Genomic DNA, 14,110 nt, shown 5'->3' with positions numbered 1-14,110 from the left:
CTTTGTACCAGCTACACAGGAGACTGAGATGGGAGAATCACTTGAGCCCAGGAAGGTTAAGGCTGCAGTGAGCCGTGATTATGTCACTGCACTCCACAGCCTGGGCAACAGAGTGAGACCCTGTCTTAAAGAAAATAAATAAAAGAAAGAGAGAAAGCAATGTCTATGATTTGGGCCAGGGAGTTAGCATTGTAGGTTAATAGACCAAGATCATGTAGTTACTAACAGTAGCAATTGTTAACCTTTACTGAGTATTTACTAAGTACCAGGTTACTTTTCTAAGGAATGTCTGTACATTAACTGATTCGATCTTCACAACTACCCTTTGAGGTAGGTACTAATATTATCCCTACTTTAAAGATGAAGAAACTGAGGCACAGAGAGGCAAAGTAACTTGTCCATGTTCCCAAAGCCAGGAAGTGGCATCTGTGGCCCCCAGTATAGTAGGAAGGCAGGATGTTATAATAGTGGAAGGAATGTGGGCTCTGGAATAATAACCTCCAGATTCCTCACCTGACTCCACCGTTTCAGCTCTAAATCATGATAACGTTGTTCTCCATGGTGGACTGAGCATGTGATCACCACCCTGGCCAGTGATGCCTAATGGGGAAGTTAGCTTCTGGCAAAGTCTTCCCCGATACTCTTCAAAAGGAGACCAAGACAGGGACGTGCTCCTTCCTGCCTTTGTACTTCTACCTGTGAAATCAGGATACCTGGACTGCTGCATCTTAAGAACATGAGAGGAAGGCTGGGTGCAGTGGCTCATACCTGTAATCCCAGCACTTTAGGAAGCCAAGGTGGGAGGATCACTAGAGCACAGGAGTTCAAGGCCACAGTGAACTATGATCTATGATAGCACCACTGCACTGTAGCCTGGGCAACAGAGTGAGACTCTACCTCACAACCAAAAAAAAAACATAAGGGGAAACATTGTTGACACAGGCAAGATAATCTTAATCTTGACATATGTCATAAAGCTTAATTGTATTGACACTGTTTCCACATAGCTAGGGTGATAATAGCAAAGGGAATATGGGGCCTATGTGTTCTTTGGTGCTTTAAGTTGGACTGGATTCAATATCTTTATTGTATTGATATTCTTTTTTATTATTATTACTTTATTTTAGAGACAAGGTCTCTCTCTTCGTCCAGGCTAGAGTGCAGTGGCTCAAGCATAGCACTGCAGCCTCAAATTCCTGGGCTCAACTCCTGGGTTCAAGTGATTCTCTCAACTCAGTCTCCCCAGTAGCTGGGACTACAGGTACACACTACATGCCTGGGTAATTTTTTATTTTTTTTACTTTTTTGTAGAGACAGGGTCTCACTATGTTGCCCAAGCTGGTCTTGAACTTCTAGCCTCAAGTGATCCTCCTGCCTCCGGCTCCCAAAGTGCTGGGATCACAGGTATGAGCCACTTGCCTGGCCTCTATATTTGATATGCTTTAGAAACTTAGGAAAAATGAGGGACCAGAATCTTTCAACAGAAAGTAAACATTTTCTTTTTAAAATTATATTTTAGGCCGGGCACGATGGCTCACGCCTGTAATCCCAACACTTTGGGAGGCCAAGGCAGGCGGATCCTCTGAGGTTAGGAGTTCAAGATCAGCCTGGCCAACATGGTGAAACCCCATCTCTACTAAAAATACAAAAATTAGTCGGGCATGATGGCACATGCCTGTAATCCCAGCTACTCGGGAGGCTGAGGCATGAGAATCACTTGAACCCAGGAGGCATAGGTTGCAGTGAGCAGAGATCGTACCACTTTACTCAAGCCTGGGCAACAGAGCAAGACGCTGTCTCAAAAAAAATAAAATAAAATAAAATACATAAATAAATAAATAACTTAATTATCCTGGAAAGAATCAGTTTTAAAAAGTATAAAATGGAGAGTTTAGTGAAGTAATAAATGGTTCAAAAATAATGATAAAGCGTCTATAGTGTACAAAGCTCTGTGCTAGAAACTGCAAATACAATCAGTGGCGAGCTGGATGGATGCTGTTAACTGCACTCAAAGCAGTGACAGCTGGGCTTGGTGGAGTGCATCTGTAATCCCAGCTACTCAGGAGGCTGAGGCGGGAGGATCGCTTGAGCCCCGGAGTTTAAGACCAGCCTGGGCAACACACCAACACATCTATCTCAAAAAAAAGAAAAACAAAAACAAAACAAACAAGCAAAAAAAGAAAACAAAACAAAACAAAAGGTAGACACAAATAAGTGGATAAACAACTCTAATAAAGTGTATGGTATGTCATAAGGGGAACGGGCAGATGCTGTAAGATCACAGGGCCAAAGCTAGTAATCTAGGTTAGGGAGTTTAGGAAGGGTACTCAGAGGAAATGATGTTTCCATTGAGATCAGAAGGGCAGACAGAAGTGTGCCATGGAAAGGGAGGGAAGGAAGGAGGGAGATGTACTAGCCTGAAAGAAGGCCCAGAAACACGACAGTGTGGAACACTAGAAAAAACAGAACAAGTTCAGTTTGGCTGAGACGTAAAGTGAAAGGCGGAGAGAGGTAAGAGATGAACTACTGGAGGAGTACAAGGGAGCCCGGTGAGGCAGAGCATTGCAATGATAAGCAGTTTGAATTTAACCCTTAAAGGCCACAGGAGCCACTTAAAAGTTTTAAAGAATGCAGTGGCTTATGCCTTCTCTTAAGCCAAAAAGAAGGATACTGGAAACAGAGAAACACATTTTACTATCTTAATCTTTCAGCATACCATAGATAACCAGTTGGAAAATACAATAGAAAAAAAAGGATCCCATTCACCGTTACAATAAGAATTCTAGAATAAAAATAATATTAACTTCCAGGCACAATGACACACTTGCCTGTACCTTCAGCTACTCAAGGGGTTTAAGTGGGAGGATTGCTTCAGAGCCGAGGAGTTTGAGACTAGCCTGGCCAACATGGCGAAACCCCATCACCAATAAAAATACAAAAATTAGCCGGGTGTGGTGGCACACGCCTGTACTCCCAGCTACCCCGGAGGCTGAGGCACGAGAATCACTTGAGCCCGGGAGGTGGAGGTTGCAGTGAGCTGAGATCACCCCACTGTACTCCAGCCTAGGTGACAGAGCAAGACTCTGTCTCAAAAAAAAAAAAAAAAAGAAGGTGAAAATACAACCCACAGAATGGAAGAAAATATTTGCAAATCACATCTCTGATAAGGAATCTGCATCCAGAATATATAAAGAACTTTTACAATTCAACAATAAAAAGACAAATGCAATTTTTAAATGGACAAAGGATTTAAGTAGACATTTCTCCAAAGATATATAAATGGTCAATAAACACATGAAATGATACTCAATATCATTAGTCACCTGGGAAATATAAATCAAAACTAAAATGAGATACCATTTCACATCTACTAGGATCGCAATGATAAGAAAGACAGACAATAACTAGTGTTAGAGAAGATGCAGAGAAATTAGAACCTCAGACACTGCTGATGGAAATGTAAATGTTGCAGGCTTGTTTGCTGTCTAGTATAATAACGTCTCCCCCAGGTCAAAAGCCGGGAAGGCTTGTTTGCAACCCTTATAAAAGATGAGGTTTCCTAAGCTTGGGGTTCCTGAACCGTGACACAAACCTGCTGAGTATACATCACCCACCTGGACCGATCTCTGAATAGCCCCATGGGACTTGAGGAAAAAGGGGAACTGAGGCACACATAAAGCTCACGTTGCCTGCTAGTCCATGATAAAGTTCTTTATCTCTGATCCAGGAGTTCCATGTCTTTTTCCAACATCCATGAAACAGTAACAGGCTAAAGTGTTGTCTTGCAAGCTGGGTAAAAATCTCAGACCCCTGAGAGATGTTGACATCAAGAATTGTAATTGGCATGTAATCAACATATAATAAAAATTTTTTAATTATTAATAAGATATTTTGTGTTCTTTTTTCTATTAGGTCTTAAAGTATTTGACACCTGCAACACATCTCAATTTGGAAGCTAAATTTTCATTGGAAATATTTAATCTGTATTTAGACTTCATAAAACCTACAGTTGAGAAAAAGTAGATTCACTTTCCCAAGATGTTCCAAGAATATTTAAAAGTTTTCCAATAGGTGAACAGTTTTCCAATAGCAGAATCAAGTATCCTTTTTAAATTTTATATTTAACTAAAATTAAATGAAATTAAAAATTTAGTTCCCCAGTCATATTACACATTTCAAGTGCTCAGTGTCCACATGTGGCTAATGGCGATGGTATCAAAGCTCAGGTCTGGTCAATCTTGAAAAAGAACAAAGTTGGAGGACTTACACAACCAGATATTAAAACTTATTATAAAGCTACAGAGTTAGGACAGTATGATACTGGTACAAGAATAGACCAATGGAACAAAATAGAAGCCCACACATACACGGTCACTTGATTTATGTCAAAAGCAGCACTGCAGTAGCCCAGAAAAAAAAGATGCTCTATATAAAAAATGTTGCTGGATCAACTGGATATCCATACAAAGAAACATAAATCTTGATCCTAACCTAATGTCATACACAAAACTTAATTCCAGAGGTATCATAGATCTAAACATGAAAGGTAAAACAATAAAGCTTCTAAAAGAACATATGAAAATACCTTCGTGACCTTGAGGTAAGCAAAGATTTCATAAATAGGACACACACAAAAAGATTGCTAAATTGGACTACATTAAAATTTAGAACTTCTTGGCCAGGCGCAGTGGCTCACACCTGTAATCACAGCACTTTGGGAGGCTGAGGTGGGCAGATCACCTGAGGTTAGGAGTTCAAGACTAGCGGGGCCAACATGGTGAAACCCCATCTCTACTAAAAATACAAAAAAGCAGCTGGGCGTGGTGGCACACGCCTGTAGTCCCAGCTACTCAGGAAGCTGAGTCAGAAGAATCACTTGAACCTGGGAGGTGGAGAGGCTGCAGTGAGCCAAGATTGTGCCACTGTACTCCAGCCTGGATGACAGAGTGAGACTCTGTCTCAAAATAAATAAATAAATAAATAATAAAATAAATAAAATTTAGAACTTCTTCATCTGGGCACAACCCTAGAGTCCTAGCTACTTGGAAAGCTAAAATAGGAGGATCGCTTGGACCCAGGAGTTTGAGGCTGCAGTGAGCTATGTTTGCATCACTGCACTCTGGCCTGGGCAACAGAGCAAAACCCCATCTCTAAAAAAATTAAAATTAAATAAGTAAAATAAAATTTGGAGCTTCTGTTCATGAAAAGACTCCATTAGCAATGAAAAAGCTAAATTGGACACAGTGGCTCATGCTGGTAATCCCAACACTTTGAGGGGCCAAGGTGGGAGGATAGCTTGAGGCCAGGAGTCTGAGAACAACCTGGGCAACATAGAGAGATGCTGTCTCTATAAAAAATTTTAACAATTAGCTGGGTGTGGTGGCGCATGCCTGTCGTCCCAGCTACTCGGGAGACTGAGGTGAGAGGACTGCTTGAGCCCAGGAGGTCCAGGCTGCAGTGAACCATGATTGTACCACTGCACTCCAGCCTTGATGACACAGAGAGATCTAGTCTCAAAAAAAATGTTTTTAATGAAAAAGCTAGCCTTATACCACTTATAAGATAAGAGATAAATGAAAAAATAAAATTAAAAAGCAAGCTACAGACTGGGAGAAAATACTTGCAATCTATGTATCTGACAAAGGACTTACATCAAGATTATATAAAGAACTACAACTCATTAAGAAACAGACAATGTGCATGTCACAAAAGAGCCTATCCAAATGTCCAGTAAATATATAAAAAAGTATTCAACCTTAAAATGTATCAGGGAAAAGCAAAATAAAATCATAATGAGATATCAGTACACACTTATTAGAGTGACTAAAATTAAAAAGAATACCAGCTGTTAGTGAGGATGCATAGTAACTGAAATCTCACACACTGCTAATGGAAAGATACACTGATATAACCATTTTAGAAAACTGGCCTTGTCTACTAAAGCTGAACATATGTATAAAATATGAGCCAGCAATTCTATTATTTGGTATCTGCCCAACAGAAAGCATACATATATGCACCAAATATATGTACAAACATATTCATAGCAGTACTATATAGGCCTGGGCAATATGGCGAGACCCCATCTCTACAAAAATACAAAAATTAGCCAGGCGTGGTGGTGCTCGCCTGTAGTCTCAGTTACTCAGGAGACTGAGCTGGGAGGATTACTTGGACCTGGGAGGTTTAGGCGGCAGTGAGCTGTGATCACACCACTGTACTCCAGCCTGGGCGACTGGGCAAAACCCTGTTTCCAAAAAAAAAAAAAAATAAGATGAAAGAAAAATTAAAGTTAACAGCAGTTGTCTTTTCTATATTTTCTACTGTAAACATGATGTAGTATTTTTATAATTAAAAGTAACTTATTTTTAGGCCGTATGCGGTGGCTCACGCCCGTAATCCTAGCACTTTGGGGGGCCAAGTTGGGCAAATCACGACGTCAGGAGTTCTAGACCAGCCTGGCCAACATTGTGAAACCCTGTCTCTACTAAAAATGCAAAAATTAGCCAGGCATGGTAGCATGCGCCTGTAATCCCAGCTACTCAGGAGACTGAGGCAGGAGAATCTCTTGAACCCAGGAAACGGAGATGGCAGTGAGCTGAGATCATGCCATTGCACTCCAGCCTGGGTGACAGAGCAAGACTCCATCTCAAAAACTCAAAAAAAAAGAAAGAAAAAAAAAGTAATTTATGTTTAAACAGAAAAAATAATAAATCAAATACAAACAGGAGAGACCTGTTTTAATAACTCTAAGAGTCGCAAGTGAGATATGAATGTGACCTGACCACCAAAAGTTAATGCCACAGGACACAGAAAAGGTAACCTAAACAAGGCTCTAGGCTGACCATACTTGAAGGAATATATTGTGATATGGGGGCCACATTTTCAGAGTGTCATTCAGAAAGTAGACAGTAATCTCAAGAAGGGAAGGAGTTCAAGGATCTAGAAACTATGTTGTGAGACTTGACCGACAGCACAAAAGACTGCTGACATTAACAAGACATTTAGCATACATCCCAGCATCCTGCATGTAGCATATGGGTGGCAACAAGAAGTGCTTGGAAAATGAATGAATGAATGGGAGAAATATAATAAGCCTTTAATGTTTAAAGGTGATTAAATGGAATTGGGACAAGGTGGCACCCAATACTTTGAAAAATGAATGAGTAAATGAATAAATAAATGAATGAAATATTATCAGTCTTGATATGTTAAAAGAGCGGTCACACATGGAATCAGTATTAGTGTTTTATACCGCACCTGAGGAAAGATTCAAGATGAATGGGGAGAAGTTACATAAATGCTCAAATTTCATCCCACTTTAGAGTTTTTTCAAAATTAAGGCTATCCAAAAATCAATAGGAAGCCTCAAAAAGAAGCAGTTAAGGCAGAAGCTACATGTCTAACATTGTTTGACTATATGGCCCAGAGGCCCTCTGCAGCACTAATACTCTATGCTTCTGTGAAATGCCATCTTGAGGCTGGGCACAGTGGCTCACATCTGTAATCCTAGCACTTTGGGAGGATGAGATGGGTGCATAACCTGAAGTCAGGAGTTCAAGGCTAGCCTGGCCAATATGGCAAAACCCCATCTCTACTAAAAATACAAAAATTAGCCAGGCGTGGTGACAGGCACCTGTAGTCCCAGCTACTCAAGAGGCTGAGGCAGGAGAATCACTTGAACCCGGGAGGTAGAGGATGCAGTAAGCCAAGATCGCACCACTGCATTCCAACCTGGGCAACAGAGCACAACTCTCAAAACAGAACAAAACAAACAAACAAACAAAAAGCTATCTTTAGATCTCACTGTACAGCAAATAATTCACAATCACTCCAGTTCCTTTTGAAACCAGCATCCATTTCCTACTAAATGAAGATAGTTTACCTGCACAGTATAAATCAAATTTCAACAGCTTTCTTTGAAACATAATGGCAAAAGAAGTAATTCATAGCCTGGTGTGGTAGCTCACGACTGTAATCCCAGCAATTTGGGAGGCTGAGGCGGGCGCACTGCTTGAGCCCAGAAGTTCAAGACCAGCCTGGGCAATATGCTGAAACCCTGTCTCTACCTCCCACTAAAAAAATTATAAAGTAGACTTAGAGGTTCACGAAAAAAAAATACAAACATTAGCCGGGCGTACTGGTGGGGCTTGTGCCTGTGGTCCCAGCTACTCGAGAGGCTGTCAGGAGGCTCACATGAGCCCAGAAGGTTGAGGCTGCAGTGAGCCGTGATCATACCACTGCACTCCAGCCTGAGTAATAGAGCAAGACTCTGTCTCAAAAAAGAGGTAATTCATAATTTCTAAGAACCTCTAGGTGTTCAGAGTATCCAGAGGAAAGGTAGTGAAGTCCAGGAGAACAAAAACCACACCTGGTTATCTACAGAGGCCCTTTGCACAATCTCAGAAAAATCAAAACTGCATTTTCTGGAATTCAAAGCACTGAATTCAGACTAGGCCCTTGGCCATTGTTAATATAATGAGCCTCTCCAGAATTAAAATGGCTCTAGAAATTCTGTATAAAGTTGAGTACATTCCATTTCTACTCACTGACTAGAATCCACCACCTCTGGCATGTCATTGTTAATATTTCAATTACATACATTTATGTAACATTTCTTACAGTTTTCAAAAGACTTTCTCACATAATAACCTATTTGAGTCTCATAAATTACCTGCAAGGAAGGTAGAGTTAGGAAAATGCATCGCATTCTATAGATGACAAATGGAAATACCAAATCAAATGATTGATCCAGCACTGCAGAATGAAACCAAAATCACAATCTAGTCTTTTCCAGATCAGTTTTTATTAGTCGTCTGGTATCCCATATGTTCACCATTCCTAAAACAGAACTGATCAAAATGCTTCAAAGTAACAGTTATGGAATAAAGGAGCTTCACTTCTTCACAAAGAGAAAGAAGAGGGTTGCCAAAAAGAACACATGCTTAGTTAAATGAAATCAAAACTATATAAGGAATTCAGATTTCCAGTTTAAAATGTTTACCCAACTGCTGTGAGAAAAATGCACAATCAGTAAAAGCACTTTAATATTTCTAAAGGGCTGGATTAAAATTTCAGCTGTAAACTTCATTACTGTAATGAGATTTTTAATGCATATTTATTAAACATCCATTTAAATACTGTGTTCACAATTATTCATGAGTTATTTGTACATTTGTGCTGATTTTAACAAACCATAAACAGTGGCCACTGACCAGAAATGTTCTCCTGCAATGACAGAAGCCCATGCTAAGGTCATAGGCAGCCCATTTTATGCTCTATTATGTTCTAATCATACCCAAAAGATAAATATTCAGCTGCTTTTTTGAAAACTGCAATGGTCATCAATGACCCAAAAAGTCAGACTTACCATTGACATTAAAGACCTATGTTTCATTCTGTGATGAATAAACAAAGTACAGAATAGAAGAAAATCAAATCTTAATTAAACTTTCTTTAGAAAAACAACATAAGCCATCATCAAGGAATGCACTGCAAGATGATTTACTTTATTTATAAAAGGCTTAGTTAGGGGCTTTAAAAGGGTGCTTTTGATTTAAATAGAAAAATTATGAAAATTAAAACTAAATGCTTGGTGGTTACCATTCTTTTCCTTCAGAAGCTAGTTAATCTTAAATGTGCCAATGTGTATAACTTTACAAAAGGAAAAAAAATTGTACTTTAAATTTCATGATAACAAATCAGTGAAATAATGCCTAAAGATCTGAATAAAGCTATTCTGAAGTAATTACAGGCATGGCCCAGCATACTGAGTAACTCCTTAATATTCACCCTGTTCACATACTATTTAATAAAGACATCTAAGGGATCTAATTTTTTTCAAAAGATTTTTAAACCCATTCATTTGTTATGTTAGTTTAAATTTTATACACACACATATATAAATGAGAATTTCAAAATGGAATCTACAGGAGTTGCATTTAAATGATATTATGAAGAAATGGAGGAACGACTATAAAGAATTACATGCTCAGGCTTAAAAACTTGTTGAAAACTGCCACCTGGTCAAGAGTATGGATAGATAACATGTTCATAGAGTAGCTTCTGGGATGGGAGCAATGAAGAGAAGAAATAAGAAAGATAAGCAGGATGGTAAAAAGAGGTTATGAAAGAGATTCTGGAAATTGAAGTATCAGGTATCTCCAGGCAAGGAGTAGAAATGGTCCTCAACAGAGAACTTGGGCAAGAGAGGCAAAAGACACCAGGAAGAGCTAGCATCCATAACGCTTTTAGGAGAGAAGATAGAGCTAACACACCTGAAGTCTACTACTGGAGACTGGGGTTGGAGGATCACTTGAGCTCAAATTAGAGACCAGGCTGGGCATGTTGGCTCACGCCTGTAATCCTAACACTTCGGGAGGCCAAGGCAGGAGGATAGCTTGAGCCCAGGAGTTCCAGACCAGGGAAAGCAATATAGTGAGACTGTGTCTCTAATTTAAAAAAATAAAAAGGCCAGGCATGGTGGCTCATGCCTGTAATCCCAACATTTTGGAAGGCTGAGACAGACAGATCACTTGAGATTAGGAGTTCAAGACCAGCCTGGCCAACGTGGCAAAACCCATCTCTACTAAAAATACAAAAATTAGCCAGGTGTGGCAGCTCACACCTGTAATCCCAGCTACTCCGGAGGCTGAAACACAAGAATCGCATGAACCTGGGAGGCGGAGGTTGCAGTGGGTGACAGAGCGAAACTCCGATTTCCAGAGTCAAGGAAACTTTTTTTTTTTTGAGCTATTGACAGCTTTTAACAATTAAGCAAAGTATACTCCTATAAACAAAATTTGGAGCATAATTGTTTCTCTCTACCTGATTTCTCCAGAACTTGAAAATTATTAGTGAGTATCTTAACTTACGGCAATAGTTATTTGCATAAGTGCAATAAAAATCTGTTTTCATTTGTAACAGGGCACAATTGGAGAAACTGGTTATTTTACCAAGGTTTTGACTGGAGTGGTGTGCTTTCCTTTAAGGAATCAAACTTGACTTATAGCGCCAATAAAAGCTCCTTTGGAAACTGGCCTCGTATCTTGTCTACACAGTCCGTGCCCAGGGTTCCTGACCTGTAGTAAGTAAATAAGTAAAGTACAGGCCCAGGAGCCCCAAGTTATCTCGGAACCTCAAGAGAAGAGGTATTTACTCAACTCATAGGTATTTGAGGGTACAAACCCATGGCTGGGCTCGGCTTTAAAAAAAAAAAGTCTTATCTGAGATTCCTTCTATGGAACAGAGTTCCATCAAAGTCAATTTTAAAAGCCTATGTGAAAAATAATTATTTTTCCTGCACTTTATACAAATGTCAGGCCAAGTATAACAAAGCAAATCAGTCTTACCATGATTTGTCTTTAGTAAAAATGGGAGACCGGAGAGAAAAATTATGTTTCAAGAACTGTGGTATACCTGTTATTAAATTCTAGTCTCGGGCTGGGAGCGATGGCTCACGCCTGTAATCCCAGTACTTTGGGAGGCCAAGGCGGGCAGATCACCTGCAAGAGTTCAAGACCAGCCTGGCCAACATGGTGAAACCCCGCCTCTACTAAAAATACAAAAATTAGCAGGGCATGGTGGTGGACACCTGAAATCCCAGCTACTCAGGAGGCTGAGGCAGGAGAGTCACTTGAACCCAGGAGACGGAGGTTGCAGTTAGCTGAAATCATGCCAATTGCACTCCAGCCTGGGCAACAGAACGAGATTCTGTCTCAAAAAAAAAAAAAAAAATCTAGTCTCATCTGTTGTTTTTAAGGTTTTTCTGCAATTTAGACTGGCTCTGCTTATTCTTGTAAATCAATCAGTGATCTCTGGTTGCTACTCAGAAGAAACAAGAGGGATGGGTAATGTAAAAATCTGGATCAATATTCTAATCCTGGGCACATATTGGAATCACCTAGCAACCCCACATCAGCGTGGTTCCAACAGTTGCCCCGTTCATGGAAAGCCTTCTAAGTTCATTTACTTGGGATAATTTTATTTATTTTACCTTACTGTTGTGGAATATATTGCTATTGTACTCTTCATGAAGGAATGCAGGATAAGCTTACTCAATGTTCTTTTAAACTGAACAGTTATTAATCTTCTAGATATCACCTTTTGTCAGAACTCAAGAGTTATGAATGGCCCTTGCCATACCAACGCTTTCTGACTGAGCTCCTCTCTACCCTGAATACAAGAGACCCTAATAGTTAGGCAGGAATAGCATTGCCCCTATTCAGCCTGAAGAAGTTGCAGAAGATAGATCTTTGTTTCTCTTCAACACTTATTAAGGGTTCCCTTGTAAAAGGGAGTGGGGGGAAATGTCAGAGGCATTTGAACTCGAGCAACTCCATTTTAAATAAGGGCTGGGTAAAATAAGTCTGAGACTTGGTGGGCTGCATTCCCAGGAGGCTATGGCATTATTAGTCACAGGATGAGATAGGAGGTTGGCACAAGATACAAGTCATAAAGACCTTGCTGATAAAACAACTTGCAGTAAAGAAGCCAGGCAAAACCAAGATGGCGATGAGAGTGACCCCTGGTTGGCCTTACTGCTATACTCCCACCAGCACCACAAAATCCTCCATTATCATAAAGATAATCAGTCTCAGGGATAGGCATGACATTCTTTTCTAATATAATAAATATTAACAAAAATCCAAGAAACATGAAATAAGTTCACATAAAGATATTCATCTAATTGGATAATTAAAAGTAAGTTCAGGCCGGGCGTGGTGGCTCACGCCTATAATTCCAGCATTTTGGGAGGTCAAGTCGGGCGGATCACAAGGTCAGGAGATCGAGACCATCCTGGCTAATATGGTGAAACCCCATCTCTACTAAAAATACAAAAAATTAGCCAGGCGTGATGGCGTGCGCCTGTAGTCCCAGCTGCTCAGGAGGCTGAGGCAGGAGAATCGCTTGAACCTGTGAGACGGAGGTTGCAGTGAGCCGACATCGCTCCACTGCACTCCAGCCTGGATGACAGAGTGATATTCAGTCTCAAAAAAAAAAAAAAAGTAAGTTCAAACGCTATAACCAGTGAGTATTAAGGGAAACAGACAGTAAGTCCAAAGACAAATATTTTCTTAACTAGTAATATGTACTACTAATAAATTGTACCTTGGCAAGTAACATGTAAAAGAGAAACAAAATATGTATAAATAAACAAATAAATAAAAAATAAACTATACCAATTCATATATAGGAGGGTTAGTTCTACTCACATTAATACCTAATCAGGGGATGGGTCTGGTGGCTCACACCTGTAATCCCTGCACTTTGGGGGTCCAAGTTGGGCAGATCACCTGAGGTCAGGAGTTCCAGACTAGCCTGGCCAACATGGCGAAACCCTGTCTCTACTAAAAATACAAAAAAATTAGCTGGGCAGTGGTGGCACATGCCTGTAGTCTCAGCTACTTAGGAAGCTGAGACAGGAGAATCGCTTGAACCCAGGAGGCAGAGGTTGCAGTGAGCCAAGATTGCACCATTGCATTCCAGCCTGGGCGACAAGAGCAAAACTCCACCTCAAAAAAAAAAAACCCTAATAGGGAATAAACTCCTATGTATGTATACTAAAGAGATTGTGGAGTTAAATATGAATCATCATTTAATAGAGGCACCTAAAAATATAATATTGTTATATTGTCAGCATAATAAAAAGAAATCATAAGATGTGATCCTCATATTACCTTGCTTCTATGAAATACATTTAATTTCTAAGGCTAGCTTAAAGAAAATGGAATTTCAGATATGCTAATTTTTAGGTTTTAGAAAACCTATAAACATTTCCCTCCCTGGCTTCTCTCCTAGTCTCCTAAGACCACTCTATGAGGCCCCCTTCTTCTGCTCACAAAATGTCAAGTTTCCTCAAGCACTAGCCCTCAGCTTTTGCTTTTTCTTTTCTTTTCTCTTCTATTTTTAGAGACAGGGTCTCATTATGCTGCCCAGGCTTGTCTCAAACTCCTGGCCGCAAGCAATCCTCCTGCTTTGGCCTCATGAGTAGCTGGGATTTCAGGCACAAGCCACAGGCTCTTTTCACCCTACACATATATTCCCAGGCTCATTCTTCTATTCTCATGGCTCCCAATACCTCATATTTTCTTTCTTAGTCTCAGATCCC

At 40.1% G+C, this 14,110-nt stretch overlaps 1 protein-coding gene across 9 annotated transcripts in view; it reads right to left on the bottom strand.

Annotated features, from left to right (window-relative positions):
* The window catches only part of AFG1L (AFG1 like ATPase), a 230,948-nt gene that overhangs the window by 212,319 nt on the left and 4,519 nt on the right, over positions 1-14,110 (bottom strand). Inside the window, exon 1 of one of the 9 annotated variants that reach the window (XM_047418557.1) lies at positions 697-752. The exons of the other annotated variants lie outside the window; for them this stretch is intronic. Coding sequence (XP_047274513.1) covers positions 697-727 — 31 coding nt within the window. The 5' untranslated portion in view covers positions 728-752. Of the gene's footprint in view, positions 1-696; positions 753-14,110 lie in introns of those variants that run through there. 9 annotated transcript variants of the gene reach the window in all.

This window comes from Homo sapiens, chromosome 6 (assembly GCF_000001405.40).
Source record: "Homo sapiens chromosome 6, GRCh38.p14 Primary Assembly".
NCBI classification, from domain to species: domain Eukaryota; kingdom Metazoa; phylum Chordata; class Mammalia; order Primates; family Hominidae; genus Homo; species Homo sapiens.
This window is presented reverse-complemented; position numbering and strand designations above follow the sequence as displayed.